The following is a 13,917-nucleotide window of genomic DNA, read 5'->3' as shown; positions in this document are numbered from 1 at the left end:
CACCTACAAACCTCTCTGCATGGATGTCCTGAGAATATCTCCAACTTAATGTACCTGGCTGAACTCATCACTTCCTTACCCCTTCCTCCTTCCAGAAAATGAGCTTCCCCTCCTTGCTGTTCCCTGCTCCCTTGCTGAAAGTGCTGCCATCATTTTTTTTTTCAGCCCAGATAACTGTAGACAGAGTGGAGACTTGTCAGCAGAAGCCTTGGCTGCTTCTCCCTGCACAGAGTAAGGAAGTGTTTTGCTGTGTATAGGTAGGAGTCACTTTTGGAAGAGAGGAGCTCAGTGAGTCATGTTCTCCAACAAATCAGAGTCTGCTATTAAGACTGTGGTTCCCACAGGCTGAGATTCAGCAGTTATCTCCCCACTAAACATGCCCCTGTGTGAGCCACCAAACTTCTAAGCATTTCCTGCACCTGGGACTGCCCACTGGTCTGATAATTTGTGACTCTGGGCCCTGTATTTTTCACCTACTTTGATTAGAGATGGGAATCTCCTTCCCCCTTTCTGGGCAGATTCCTAAGGATCTGCAGGGACAGGGATGGCTAGTGATACACTATCACTCCACCTCACCTTTGCATGCATTCTTCTCTCACAAGTGCAGAGTATGAGCAGGAGGTTCTTGTTGATTATCCTCTTCTGCCCAAAAAGTGAAAGTAGGCTTGTGCCTGGAAAATATCCTTTTACATTCTACACTCTCATCCTAATTCCATTTTACCTGAAGATATTAGTCAGAACACTCATTTTCTTACTCTTGATAAGCTGTAAGGATTTCATGCATTTACTGAACCAGCTCCACATCAATTCAGCAGGATTTGCTATAGTGCTCCCTTTTCTCTCTCCCTCACCCCAAGTTAATATTGCATTTTAAAATACTGGGGACACTTTCTTCCTTCATTCACCCTCCCTGCCCCCTGAGACATGGCCCTGGCAATGTGCATTTTCTTCCACCGTTTTCATAAGGGTCTCTCACCTGAATTTTTAGTAAACTCTTTCTTAGTTGTCTGTGCTGCCTTCAACATTTCCTCTTCTCACTTTGCCCCTCCTCCCTTTTTATTTTTTATTGATGTCCCAGAGCATCCTTCAATAAACTTAGCTTCATGCCCTCAGAACTTCTTAACCCTCAGATTGCCCACTCTGCCCAGTGTGGCTCCACTCAATCTGTGTGTCACCATCTCACCCCGGGACCTCTGCCACCCACCTTTCAGCTGGTCTTCCTATTCCCACCTCCCGCTCTTGCACTCCTCCCTGGGTTCCTGCTGTGCTGGCCTTCTCCCACTAGTATCATTGTCACCTGATCACTTTCTTGCATATAGTTTCCCATTTCCTGTCATTGTTTTTTAAAAAAGTCTGTAAACTGGTCCCACCTCATGTATGTGTGTGTGTATTTACATAGGTGATTTTTATTTCCGGTACCTTTCTAACACACCATCTGCACTCATCACCAGTCCTTGGCCCTCAGGCATTCCTAACTCATCCTTTTCCTATTTTCCCTTCCTGAACACTCATCTTCCTTCTCTCCACTGATCCATGTCCTCCCCATAACCAAGGTCCAGTTCAGGGCCAACCACTGTAACTCTAGGCCACGGAGTCACAACCCTAACTGCACATTAAAATCCCCTGAGGTGTTCTTAAAATAATATTTTAGCTGGGCCCAGTCCTTGCACAGTTGAAACTTAAACTCTTGGGTAAGACTCAAGCATCTTTGTTTTTTTCAAAATACCCCTAACCCGGAGGATACTGATGCACATTGAAGAGTGAGAACAACAGCTTCTAGCTGACACAGCACACTGGAAATGCTGTGGTATTGATAACCAGTGCCACACACTTCCACACCAATCTTTTCCCACCTTGCCTACCTTTGTTTTCTTACCAGATTCTGAAACGCATACTTGTAAATATCTGTTCATGGACAAGTCATTGGATTTTAACGTACAAATATCCTTTCTCTGACTATTTCTTCTTGACATCTTTCATTGAGTATAATCTTATCTGCATCAAACAGAAATGGAAGCATAAACCTGAGATACTGGCAGAAGCTTTGAAGGTACTTACTTCATTTTATTGCTTATTGTTGAAGTTGAATCATGTGTTATTTTTAGGGGTTTTTTTTTGTTATTAGTTTTTCAGAGGACAGAGTCTGACTCTGTCACCCAGGCTGGAGTACAGTGGTTCCATCATAGCTTACTGCAGCCTCAAACTCCTGTGCTCAAGAGATCCTCCCACTTAAGCCTTCTGAGTAACTGGGACTGCAGGCATACCTGGCCAATTTTTTAAAAACAATTTTGTAGAGACAGGGTCTCACTGTGTTGCTCAGGCTAGTCTCAAAACTCTTATCCTCAACCTATCCTCCCTCTGTGGCCTCCCAAAGTGCTGGGATTACAGACATGAGCCACCACACCCAGCCTATTTTTAGTTATGCTCTTTGTAGTGTTCTTGGGTTTACCATCTTTAACAATTAATTTAACTTAGCACATTACAATACCTCATATAAGTTATGTTTCATCTTTGCTGATATATCAATGTAAGATGGTAACTAAATTAGACCTCATAATCAGTAGCTAGTTCTTCCACCACCAGACCATACTAATTATGCTGTGACACTGTCAGAAGTGCATGATGATGTCCACACTGTACCTGTTTTTAATCATTTCCTCACTTTAAAACTGTCATCAAAAATGCTGTTTTTCTCTTTTGTAGAATCATTCTGGTTTCTTCCTAATAAGTGTTTTTGGAGTTGTTTTCTTATGGTTTCTCTTGGTTTTAGCATTGATCATTGTAGGAAATCTAATTGAAATTAATGGTATATATCATCTTTTTACTCTTTAACACTTTGCAATGCTTTAATAATTTTTAATGAAAATAGTATATTACTTTTAGGAGCACATATTTACCCAAATACAGTCGATAGTTTTTCGAAGTAGAGGTCCTTGGGAGATCTGGTTTAAGAAGTAGAGAAAAATGGGCAGTGGTTAGTACATAGTTGTTTTTAAGTGGGGATTTTGAAATTCTTAAGGGTACGCAACACAATTTTTATCAGAGTTGGTTTGGAGCATGCAGTAGAAACCTGACTAAAGAGTGGCTTAAACAAATTTGTTTTCCCCCCTTCAGGTAATAAAAAATCTTAAAGAAACCACTGCAGTATATGCAGTGGCTCAGGTGTCGTAAAGGCCCAGACTCCTTGTGACTTCATGCTCCGCCTTCCTTCATAGGTGGCTGTCATCCTCATAGACCTAAGATCCTTTCTACAGTTTCCAACAGCACACTTTTTGCCAGGCAGACACAAGATGAAATTCAGAGAACAAAAGGTAAAGAATTGAGTTTGCCCTTTTAAGCAGCTTTCCCTGAATTCTACCCCTATGCCTTCCAGTTACATCTCATTGGACAGAATTGTCACTTGACCACTTTTATCACCTAGGAGATATAATTTTTTAGCTGCAACTATTGCCATCCCAAATAAACGAAACATTCTGTTAGAAAGAAAGGGAGACTGGTTATAGAGCAGGTAGCTGGTAGTGTCTGCCATTCTAGTTCATTGAGCATTTTAATTTTTCTTTATGATTTGTTGTTAAAAGTTCTGCATTTTCTAGTAGTAAAAGATTGATTAACTCAAGACCAGCATTTGCTAATTTTTATAAATTATAAATGATTTTGGTTTAAATGAGTGAAGTTTTATTCTGTTGGTTTTACCTTTTTGTTTATAAAAGTATTCAACTACTCTAATTATTGCAACACTTTTTAAAAATCATGTCACTGCATATTGCATGAAATTCTGACTATCATGTTTGGAATTTTATTAATAAAAATAAAATATGTCATAAATTTATGCTGCCTGGTGTTTTGATTTTGCAATTTGCAAATATGCTTGAAATCCTGCTAATATGGGAAAGTAGGAACCGGCTAAATCATAATGGCTACAATATGGCAAAGAAACTGTTTCCTCCTCTCATTGGAGTAGGCAAATTTTAGATGGAAAATTATTGCAGTTAAGATTTTATACAAGATAATTTTTTAAAAGAAATAAATTCCTTTATAATTTGTTTTTCTCCTTACAACATACTGGTGGTGCTTTTGGGGCATTTTAAATTATAAGGTGCAATGTGAACTGATAACCTAACTTAGTTTTGTACTACAGATCTCAGAAGTAGGAAGGAGGGAGAGTGGAACTGAGCTGTGATTATTGTCACCAGAAAATATACTGGGAAGGGGTAAACATGAGGCAATAAAAACTCGCCTCACTGTTAAAAAAGAAAACTAGAAAATTAAAGAAATCAGCCATATTGACTCAGCTGAAATATATTTTTTTCATTTAAATTCCTGATGATTTTATTCTGAATAGTTTGTAAGACTATAGGTGCATGTTTAAAATGCAGTTACCCTCCACAGGATGTTGGGTTGTGTTTATTAAAAGCTTAGCATAGGAAGCGCTTTGATCTCCTAACTCTTGTAGGGTTTTGTGTTATTGCTTTTCTGAGTAAGAACTCCTGGATTGCTGGTGACATGTCGGTGACATGATTAGACCTTTAAGGTGAGTGTGTGTGCACGCACATGTAGATGTGCAAATGTACATATACACACGTGTGCTCTCATATGCATAATTTTTGAAGAAAGAGGTAAAGAGAAAAAATCTGGCAGCATTTCTAAAAAAGGTGTTCTGAATTGCCTGATTTCCTTGGATGGTATCCCAGATGCTTCCTATCAGATGAAGTAGCACATAGAGTACAGCAGATGTAAAATAGTGCACAAAATCTTTTCTCTTCATGAGGTTATTGCAGTGGTTCAAATATTTGCCATAATCTTAGCAATTAAAGTGTATACTATCCACCTCTGCTTCAATCACACTTATTCAATAAAAACAAGCCTCTTCTGTGCTTTAGTATATTTTACTACCATATTTAACAACTAACACGGACTTACTAAAAATGTATTCTTTTTGTATAATAATCAGGAGTCTTATTTATTCATTTCTTGATAATAAATCCTGATCTTCTGGGCTATCAGCACATGGGCTTAGTATATAAGACTGTTTATTTTAAAACAGCTCTTATTACAGGTTCAGACTTTTTGCTTTAAATCTGGGCTATCGGTGAGTCCAGTCTCTGACCCAGAGCAGGAGTTTCCATCACAACATCCAGGACAAGCCATTGGTGATTGTCTGACTGAGCACACCTATTTATGATACAGAGTTCATGACTTTTCAAGACCAGCACATTTCTCTTTATGATAAAGTTTTGATTTGTACACAGTTTTCCTCATATTAACTTCAGATTTTCTTCCATGTAAGTTACGTGGATGGTTCTGATTGTGCCCTAGGGAGCAATTGCAGACTGTCTCTTCTACATGGCAGTCACTCAAATATTTGAATACAATTATTATGTCCTTTCTAAATATCTTCTTTTTCAAACCAAACATCCTTGTGGAAGTTTGAAGAAAGAGAGGAATGGTAGGTAGCAGTGTAGCAGAAAATTGTTCAAGTAAAAATCAGTCGGCCTCAGACAGACACAGAAGCTGGATCTCTTTAGGGTTGTCCAGATAGCTGACTGTAGCTCAGCACTTAAGCAACTCACATGAAGAGGGACTGTAAGTGTAGATGCCTTATTTACTTATTTAAGACAGGGTCCTGCTTTATTACCCAGGGAGGAGTGCAGCAGCATGATCTCAGTTCACTACAACCGCGGCCTCCCAGGCATAAGTGATCCTCCCACTTCAGCCTCCCGAGTAGCTGGAACTACAGGTGTATGTCACCATGCCTGACTAATGTTTGTGGGTTTTTTTATAGAGACAGAGTTTCCCCGTGTTGCCCAGGCTGGTCTCAAACTCCTGGGCTTGAGCAATCCACCTGCCTCAGCCTCCCAAAGTGCTGGGATTACAGGTGTGTGCCACCACACCTGGCCTAGATGCCATGTTTATACATATTTATAGATACGTGTATATATGTGGGTTAGTATGCACACATATATTTTCTTGCATCAGCCAAGATGGCCTAGAAACAATACCCCAGTAGCAAGAAGAACACCCACCAACTAGACCTTGGTTTTTAATACTATTTTCTAGTAAAAGAAATCAGGGCCTGGAAAAATGATTGATTCTAGGAATGAGTCAGGAAATATACAGGATGAGCCTGGAGAATCTTATAATACCAGAAAGCAGAAAGTGAGGAAGTAAAAAACAAAAACAAACCTCACTGATGGCAACATGTCAAAGGAGCACAAGATCTAACAGAAGGATCTGCCAGTGGCTAAAGCTGGGGACAGCTTAAGCAACAAAGTAAAGTAGTATTGGATGGTTAACCCAAACTATAAAATAAATGCCCATGAGTCCGTATGTATATAAATAAATGATTTGATAAATAAAGAGGAAAAAATGGGTAAGTCACCTTGCAGAAGAATCCCAAATAACTTTTGTCGATACTCCCACCTCAAGGAAGTAGAACATAACCCTTCACTTTTTCAGTATAGGCTGCTCATAATGACCTTCCAAAGAGTAAAGTATGCAAAAGAGGAAAAAAAGAGTAAATACAGTGGAGAAACCTAACAAATACTACTTTACCCAGATGTGATGGAAATAATGCTTTACTTCTTGTGGTTTTCTTCCCAAAAACCCATAGCCCCAGTGTAATCAAGTGAAAAACATCAGACCAATCCCAATTGAGGTGTATTCTGTAAAATACTTCACCAGTACTCCTTGAAACAGCAAGGTCATCAAAAACAAGGAAAGTCTGGGAAACATCACAGCCAGCAAGAGCCTGAGGGGGCATAAAGACTAAATGTAATATGGTATCCAGGATGAGACCCTGGAACAGAGAAAGGACATTAAGCAAATCAAGGAAATCTGAATACAGTGTGGACTTTAGTTAATAATGATGTATCAATATTGTTTCATTAGTTGTGACAAATGTATCTACTAATGTAAGATAATAGGGGAAACTGCATGGGGGCTGTATGGGAACTCCACACTATCGTCTCAGTTTTTCTGTCAATCAAAAACTGTTCTAAAAAATAAATTTTAAAAAATGTTTAAAGATAACTTGGAGAAAGCCTAGATGACCTTGGGTATGGTGATGACCTTTTAGAAACAACAGCAAAGACAAACTCCATGAAAGAGGCAGTTAATAAGCTGTACTTCGTCAAAATTAAAAACTTCTGCTCTGCAAAAGACAGTGTCAAGCGAAGGAGAAGACAAGCCACAGACTGGGAGAAAATATTTGCAAGGACTGTTATCCAAAATATACAAAGAACTCTTAAATCTCAAAAATAAAAAAACAACCCAATTAAAAAATAGGCAAAAGACCTGAACAGACATCTCCTCAAAGAAGACACGCAGATGGCAAATAAGCATATGAAAAGAGGTTCAACATCATATGTTATTAGGAAATTGCAAATTGAAACAAGAAATCACTATATACCTATTAAAATGGCCAAGATCCAGAACACTGACAACACCAAATGCTGATGAGGAAGTGGAACAACAGAAACTCTGAGTAGTTGCTGGTAGGAATGCAGAATGGTACAGTCACTTTGGAAGACAGTTTGGCAGTTTCTTACAAAACTAAACATATTCTTATCACTCAACTCAGTAATCACACTCCTTGGTGTTTATCCAGATGAATTAAAAACTTATATCCACACCAAAACCTGCATATAGATCTTTATAGCAGCTTTATTAATACTTGCCAAAACTTGGAAGCAATGACGTCCTTCAGTAGGTGAATGGATAAACTGTGGCACATCCAGAAATGGAATACCATTCAGTGCTAAAAAGGCAGGAGCTATCAAGCCACAAAAAGACATATGGAGTATGAGGACAGAGGGTGCTCAGCAAAAAAGAAAAGATATGGAAGAAGCTTAAATGCACACCACTAAGTGAAAGAAGCCAATCTGAAAAGGCTACATACTGTATGATTCCAACTATATGACATTCTGGAAAGGACAAAATTGTGGAGACAGTAAAAAGATCAGTGGTTGCCAGGGGTTGGAGGAAGGGAGGGATGAGTAGAGAGAACACAGAGGATTTTTAAGGCAGTGAAACTACCTTGTATGATGCTATAATGGTGACTCTGCCTGTCATTAACCCTTAGAAGGCACAATACCAAGAGTGACCCCTAGTGTAAACTGTGATCTTTGGGTGATAATGTCTCAGTGTAGGTTCATCAGTTGTAACTGTGTTGATCGATGTCGGCAGTGGGAAAGGTTGTACAGGTTGAGGGAAGGGGGAACATGGGAACTTTCTGTACTTTCCTCTCAATTTTTCTGTGAACTTAAAACTGCTCTAAAAAACAAAGTTTATTAATTCAAAAATGCCAATAAGAAATCTATGATGTCCCCTTCCCCCATTAGGCAAGCTGAATGGAAGTCACGTTATCCAAAGGCTACCCCAGTTGCTAGGAGAACATGGAGTCAGAACAAGAATGGACTTAAGTCAGTTGCTGGGCTTAATACCTAGGTGATGGGATTATCTGTGCAGCAAACCACCACAGCACACATTTACCCATGTAACAAACCACCACATCATGCACAGGTACCGCTGAACTTAAAAGCTGGGGGAAAAATAAAAAGAATGGACTAAAGTCACATAATTTAAATGTGTGATGGCTTCAAACTCCTACAGTTGAATGTTGTGGTCTTTCTTAGATGGACAGGCCTTCTCTTCTGGACAGGGCAGGCTAGGCAAGGCAAATGTTTGCTTCTGTCATCCTACTTTTGCTCCTGCTCCCTGTGGACATACACACCTCTGCTGAACACACATGTTCAGTCTGGTTATCTGGTTTCCAGGAGTGCAAATGTATAGACTTTATCCATTTATAGCCCTGACCCATTATGCTTTGATTTTGTAGTTTAACTTTCAAACCATGCCATTTCTGTGGTTTCCAAGTACAGTGCCCTTGAACAACACAGTTTTCAACAGCTCAGATCCACTAATATGTGGATTTTTTTCAATAAGTGCAGTCGGCACTCCATATGGGCGGGTTCCATGTCCACAACCAAACACCAATCAAAAATACAGTATTCACGGGATGCAAAACCCACATAGAGGGACGACAGGAGGATTTTGTGAGGATTTTGGTATCCTTGAGGGTGGGAAGCATCCTGGTGCCATTCACCTGCGAATACCAAGCAGCGACTGTACTTCCTCAAAAGCACTGCTGACAACCCAAGATCCCTCAGATGTCCTTAATGAAACCCTTTTTTCAGGCTCTTTCTTACCCTGGTCGTCCTCCTCTTCTGGTTACACTCCCATTACTAAATACCATTCCTACTATTGTATATTAACGTTCCTTTTAAAACCTAGTGCCTAGAATAGCAGAAGGACTCTACATATCATGTGATTATTTCAGAGTACAGTGGACTCTTGTATTCATCTGGACATCGTAATTGTATTAATGCAGCCAAAATTATATTAAGTACTTCAGCAGCCCCATCTCCCTAGCTCTTGTTGAGACTCTAGTTAAAAACATCCCTGAGGCCTTTTATCCTCTGAACTGCTGCATCACGCAGCTGCTTGTAAAGCCGTCTCTCCTCCAACTTGTGCTTTTATAATTGAATCTCTTTAAATGTAAATGCAGACAATTACATTTGTCCTAGTTAAATTTCATCTTGTTATTTCGAGCCCAGAGCTCCAGCTTGTTGAGATCTTATTGAATCTTGGTTCTGTCATGGATTTCTGTTATGCATACTTGCTTGTGTCTGCAACCCAGGTAGAGAGGCTTGAAAATAAATATATCCCAGCTGCGCTAACTCAAAGCAAGAGGTACTGAGAGAAGACAGCAGTGATGATTGCTCGGGGATGGGGAAGGCAACTGCCCATTCTCTAAGCAGTAATTTCCTAATATTTTTGGTGGCAGTTCACAGTTCAACATTATGAGATATAGCAAAAGCCATTTATTGCTAATTACATTTAACTGATGTCTATGAAGGACTATTCCTATACATTAGAGTGAATTTGAGACTATCTCCATCATTCTCCAGCCATTCTTCAGTGGGAGAAAAACGGTGGAATTAAACTAGTGGAAACAAGGCTTTCTCATCTAGTCCCAATCCAGTCGATAAGCTGTGTTTGCCAATCACTGCTCCAGCACAATGGCCCTCAGTTTATTTTTAAGTCTATGGCATGCCTGAAGGACCATGTTCCCATGAGTGACACCCTTCTGTAAATGTGGTGGCACATTATGGGCTGCTGTTTTAGAAGAGACTGCCAACTTGCTGGGGATTATCCTGGTGTATTCCTTTCTCTCCGGCTGGTTCGTGACATGTCACTGGCTTGAAAATTCTCAGCCCTAACATTTAAAGCAGCGATTCGCAAAGTGCAGCACTTTTAAGCTGAGGTTGGCAAACTGTGGCCCATAGACCAAATCTGGTTCACCACCTGTTTTTAGTACATCACTAAATGGTTGGGGGAAAATCAAAAGAAGAATAATATTTCATGACGTGAAAATTATATGAAATTCAAATTTCAGTATGCATAAATAAAATATTGAACACAGTCATGCTTATTTGTTTATGTATTGTCATTGGCTGCTTTTGCAAATAGTAGCAGAATTGAGTAGCTGTGACAGAGACTATATGACCCACAAAGCCTAAAATATTTACAGATATGGCCCTTTACAGAAAATGTTTGCCCACTCTTGTGTTAATGGGATGGTTTAGAAACTGTGGATTTTTGAGCCCCACCTCAGACCAGATAAATCAGAATGTCTACAGATGGGGGTCCAAGAATGTACATTTTAAGCAAGCTCTTGAAATTCACCCCTAGGCGAACAGTGAGACAAGACTAATGATCATGAGCTAAGGATATGGGAAAGGAAAAGATTCTGCCCTACTTTTTCTGCCGAACTTATTGTGTTTTAATCCAACGCTGTAATTTTGCTACAGACTGTATAAATTATGTGGATCAGTTTCTAAGCACTTCTCTCCAATTCAGCTCTCTTCCAAACTTTTCTATTTTGTGGAAAGAAGGTTGTATTAGTTTCTTAGGGCTGCTGTAACAGATTATGAACTGTGGGTTGACCTGACCAACAGAAGTTTGTTCTTTCACAGTTCTGGAGGCCAGAAGTCCAAAATCCAGCAGGGGTGTGCTCCCTCTTGGGGGTCTAGGGAAAGAACCCATTCTTTGCCTTTTTCAGCTTGTGGTGGCTGTCAGCGCTCTTGACTTGTTAGTACCTCACTGCAGTCTCTGCCCCAGTGATCGCATTGCCCCTTGCTCTTCTCTGTGTCTTATTTTTCATCTGCCTCAAATCTTCCTCTGATTTTCTCTTATAAGGACATTTGTCATGGGACCTGGGGCTCACACGGCTAATCCAAATGATCTCATCTCAAGATCCTTAATATAATTATATCAGCAAAGCTACAAAGACCTCTTTTCCAAATAAGGCCACATTCACAGGTTTTGGGGGTTAGGACAGGGACATCTTTTTGAGGCCACCATCCAACTCAATACACATGCCGCTGTTCTCCTCTTCCCCCAACAGCCAGTCAGTTTCCAAGTCTTGAAGATTCCATCCGCTTCTCAAGTCCTACTTGCACCATTCTGATCTCTTTCTGCCATAGGAATCTCTTAGAAATTTCTGACGGTTTCCTACTCTTCGAAAAGTTCAGAACATACTTCTAAGCCTGACATTTAGGGCTCTCTGCAGTAATGTTGCCAGCGTATTTTCCATTTCTTTCTCTTTCTTCTTCCCTCCATGTACCTTGCCCTCCAGCCACACTGTGCCACTTGCCGTTGCCCTCACTGCTCCTCCCTTCTCTCTGAACCCTCTCACACTGTTCCTTCTTCCTGGAACACTGGTTGTTCCTCCATCCTTATCACCATGACCCCTACCCCTGTATCACCTAACACCCAGATATCTTTCAAAGTCCATCTGAGGTCCTACCTCCCCATGAGAGCTTTGCTGCTCCTTCCCACTAGGGATGAATCTCTGAGCCTTCGGCACCTCACATGGTATATTATTATTATTATAATATTAATATTATTATTATATTTAGCTATTTTGACTGCAAATGTAGGAAAATTAACAAAATAAAGGAAATTAAGAAAAGTAATTCTAAAGTTTAGTAAAGTGACAGCAAACAAGATCAACTTTTAAAAAAGACGGTTATCCTGTAGAGAGTGACTCTAGTTTATAACCAGTAAGAAAATATAATTTTAAAATGCTCAGTAGTGAAGTAGTGTAACTAAAATATTCTTAATGTGAAATGTATTATTAGTATCTATGTGAAGATGTTTTAAATTTTGAGAGACAAGTGAAGATGACTAAAAGAAATACATACTATTTTCCTTTAGATAATGTAAAGATGTCATTCTTTATACATTGATTTTAAGGTTTAGTGTCGTTTTTATGGAATATTTTAAAATTTTATTTATATAATAGGGTACTGATCAAAATTCCAATAAGATGAGCCTCATCTTCCAAGAGATAAGACTAGGACATAAAAGGATTTCAAAACTTGTTAAGAATAACCCACAAAAATTAGCTGGATGTAGTGGTGTGCTCCTGTGGTCCCAGCTACTCGGGAGGCTGAGGCAAGAGAATCACTTAAACCTGGGAGGCAGGGGTTGCAGTGAGCCAAGATCGTGCCACTGCACACCAGCCTGGGGGAGAATAACTACACAAATGAAGATAAGACACATCCAAATTTAAAAGGATTATGTAAAACAACTGGCCTGGAATTTTTTTTAAATGTCATGTCATAAAAGATAAAAAGAGACAAATGGGAGAGGAAGGAGGAGGAGGAAAGAAGGAGAAAGAGAAAGGAAAGAATGAAGGAGAGGAAGGAAGGAAGAGGGGGAGGGAGGAAGGAAGACATATATTGAAAGATGTTAGAGATACATAACTAATGTAATGGGTGATCCCTTTTTTTTTAAATTTTATTTTCGGTTCAGGGGTACATGTGCAGATTTGTTATGTAAGTAAACTTGTGTCACCAGGGTTTGTTGTACAGATTATTTTGTCACCTAGGTACTAAGCCTAGTACTCAATAGTTATCTTTTCTGCTCCTCTCCCTCCTTCCACGCTCCACCCTCAAGTAGGCCCCAGTGTCTGTCATTCCCTTCTTTGTGTTCATGAATTCTCATTGTTTAGCTCCCACTTGTAAGTGAGAAGATGCGGCATTTGGTTTCTGTTCCTGCATTAGTTTGCTAAGGATGATGGCCCCCAGCTCCATCCATGATCCTGCAAAAGACATTATCTCATTCTTTTTTATGGCTGCATAGTATTCCGTGATGGGTATGTACCACATTTTCTTTATACAGTCTACCGTTGGTGGGCATTTAGGTTGATTCCATGTCTTTGCTGTTATGAGTAGTATAGTAATGAACATTTGTGTGCATGTGTCTTTATGGTAGAATGATTTCTATTCCTCTGGGTATATACCCAGTAATGGGACTACTGGGTTGAATGGTAATTCTGTTTTTAGCTCTTTGAGGAATTGCCATTCTGCTTTCCACAATGGTTGAACTAATTTACACTCTCACCAACAATGTATTAAGTGTTCCCTTTTCTCTGCAACCCAACCAGCATCTGTTATTTTTTGACTTTCTAGTAATAGCCATTTTGAGTGGTGTGAGATGGTATCTCATTGTGGTTTTATTTGCATTTCTCTAATGATCAGTGACACTGAGCTTTTTTTTAATATGCTTATTGGCCATATGTATGTCTTCTTTAGAAAAGTGTCTGTTCATGTCCTTTGCCCACTTTTTAATGTTTTCTTTCAATTTGTTTAAGTTCCTTATAGATGCTGGATATTAGACTTTTATCAGATGTGTGGTTTGCAAATATTTTCTCAATGGGTGATTCTTGATCAGTTTTTTAAGCTTTGAAGTTAATTATGGGAATATTGAATTTCAATATTGAGTGTGTATTGGGTAATAGTATTGAATACAGTAATGGCGTTGTGGTTACAAAAAACGCCCTTGTTCTTA

General features: G+C 39.4%; 1 protein-coding gene across 4 annotated transcripts in view; it reads left to right on the top strand.

Annotated features, from left to right (window-relative positions):
* Window positions 1–13,917, top strand: part of ZNF704 (zinc finger protein 704) — a 255,969-nt gene that overhangs the window by 92,545 nt on the left and 149,507 nt on the right. The window lies entirely within an intron of this gene.

The sequence above is a fragment of the Homo sapiens genome, chromosome 8 (assembly GCF_000001405.40).
Source record: "Homo sapiens chromosome 8, GRCh38.p14 Primary Assembly".
Classification (NCBI taxonomy): Eukaryota; Metazoa; Chordata; class Mammalia; order Primates; family Hominidae; genus Homo; species Homo sapiens.
The sequence above is the reverse complement of the archived record's forward strand: the minus strand, read 5'-3'. Positions and strand labels throughout refer to the sequence as shown.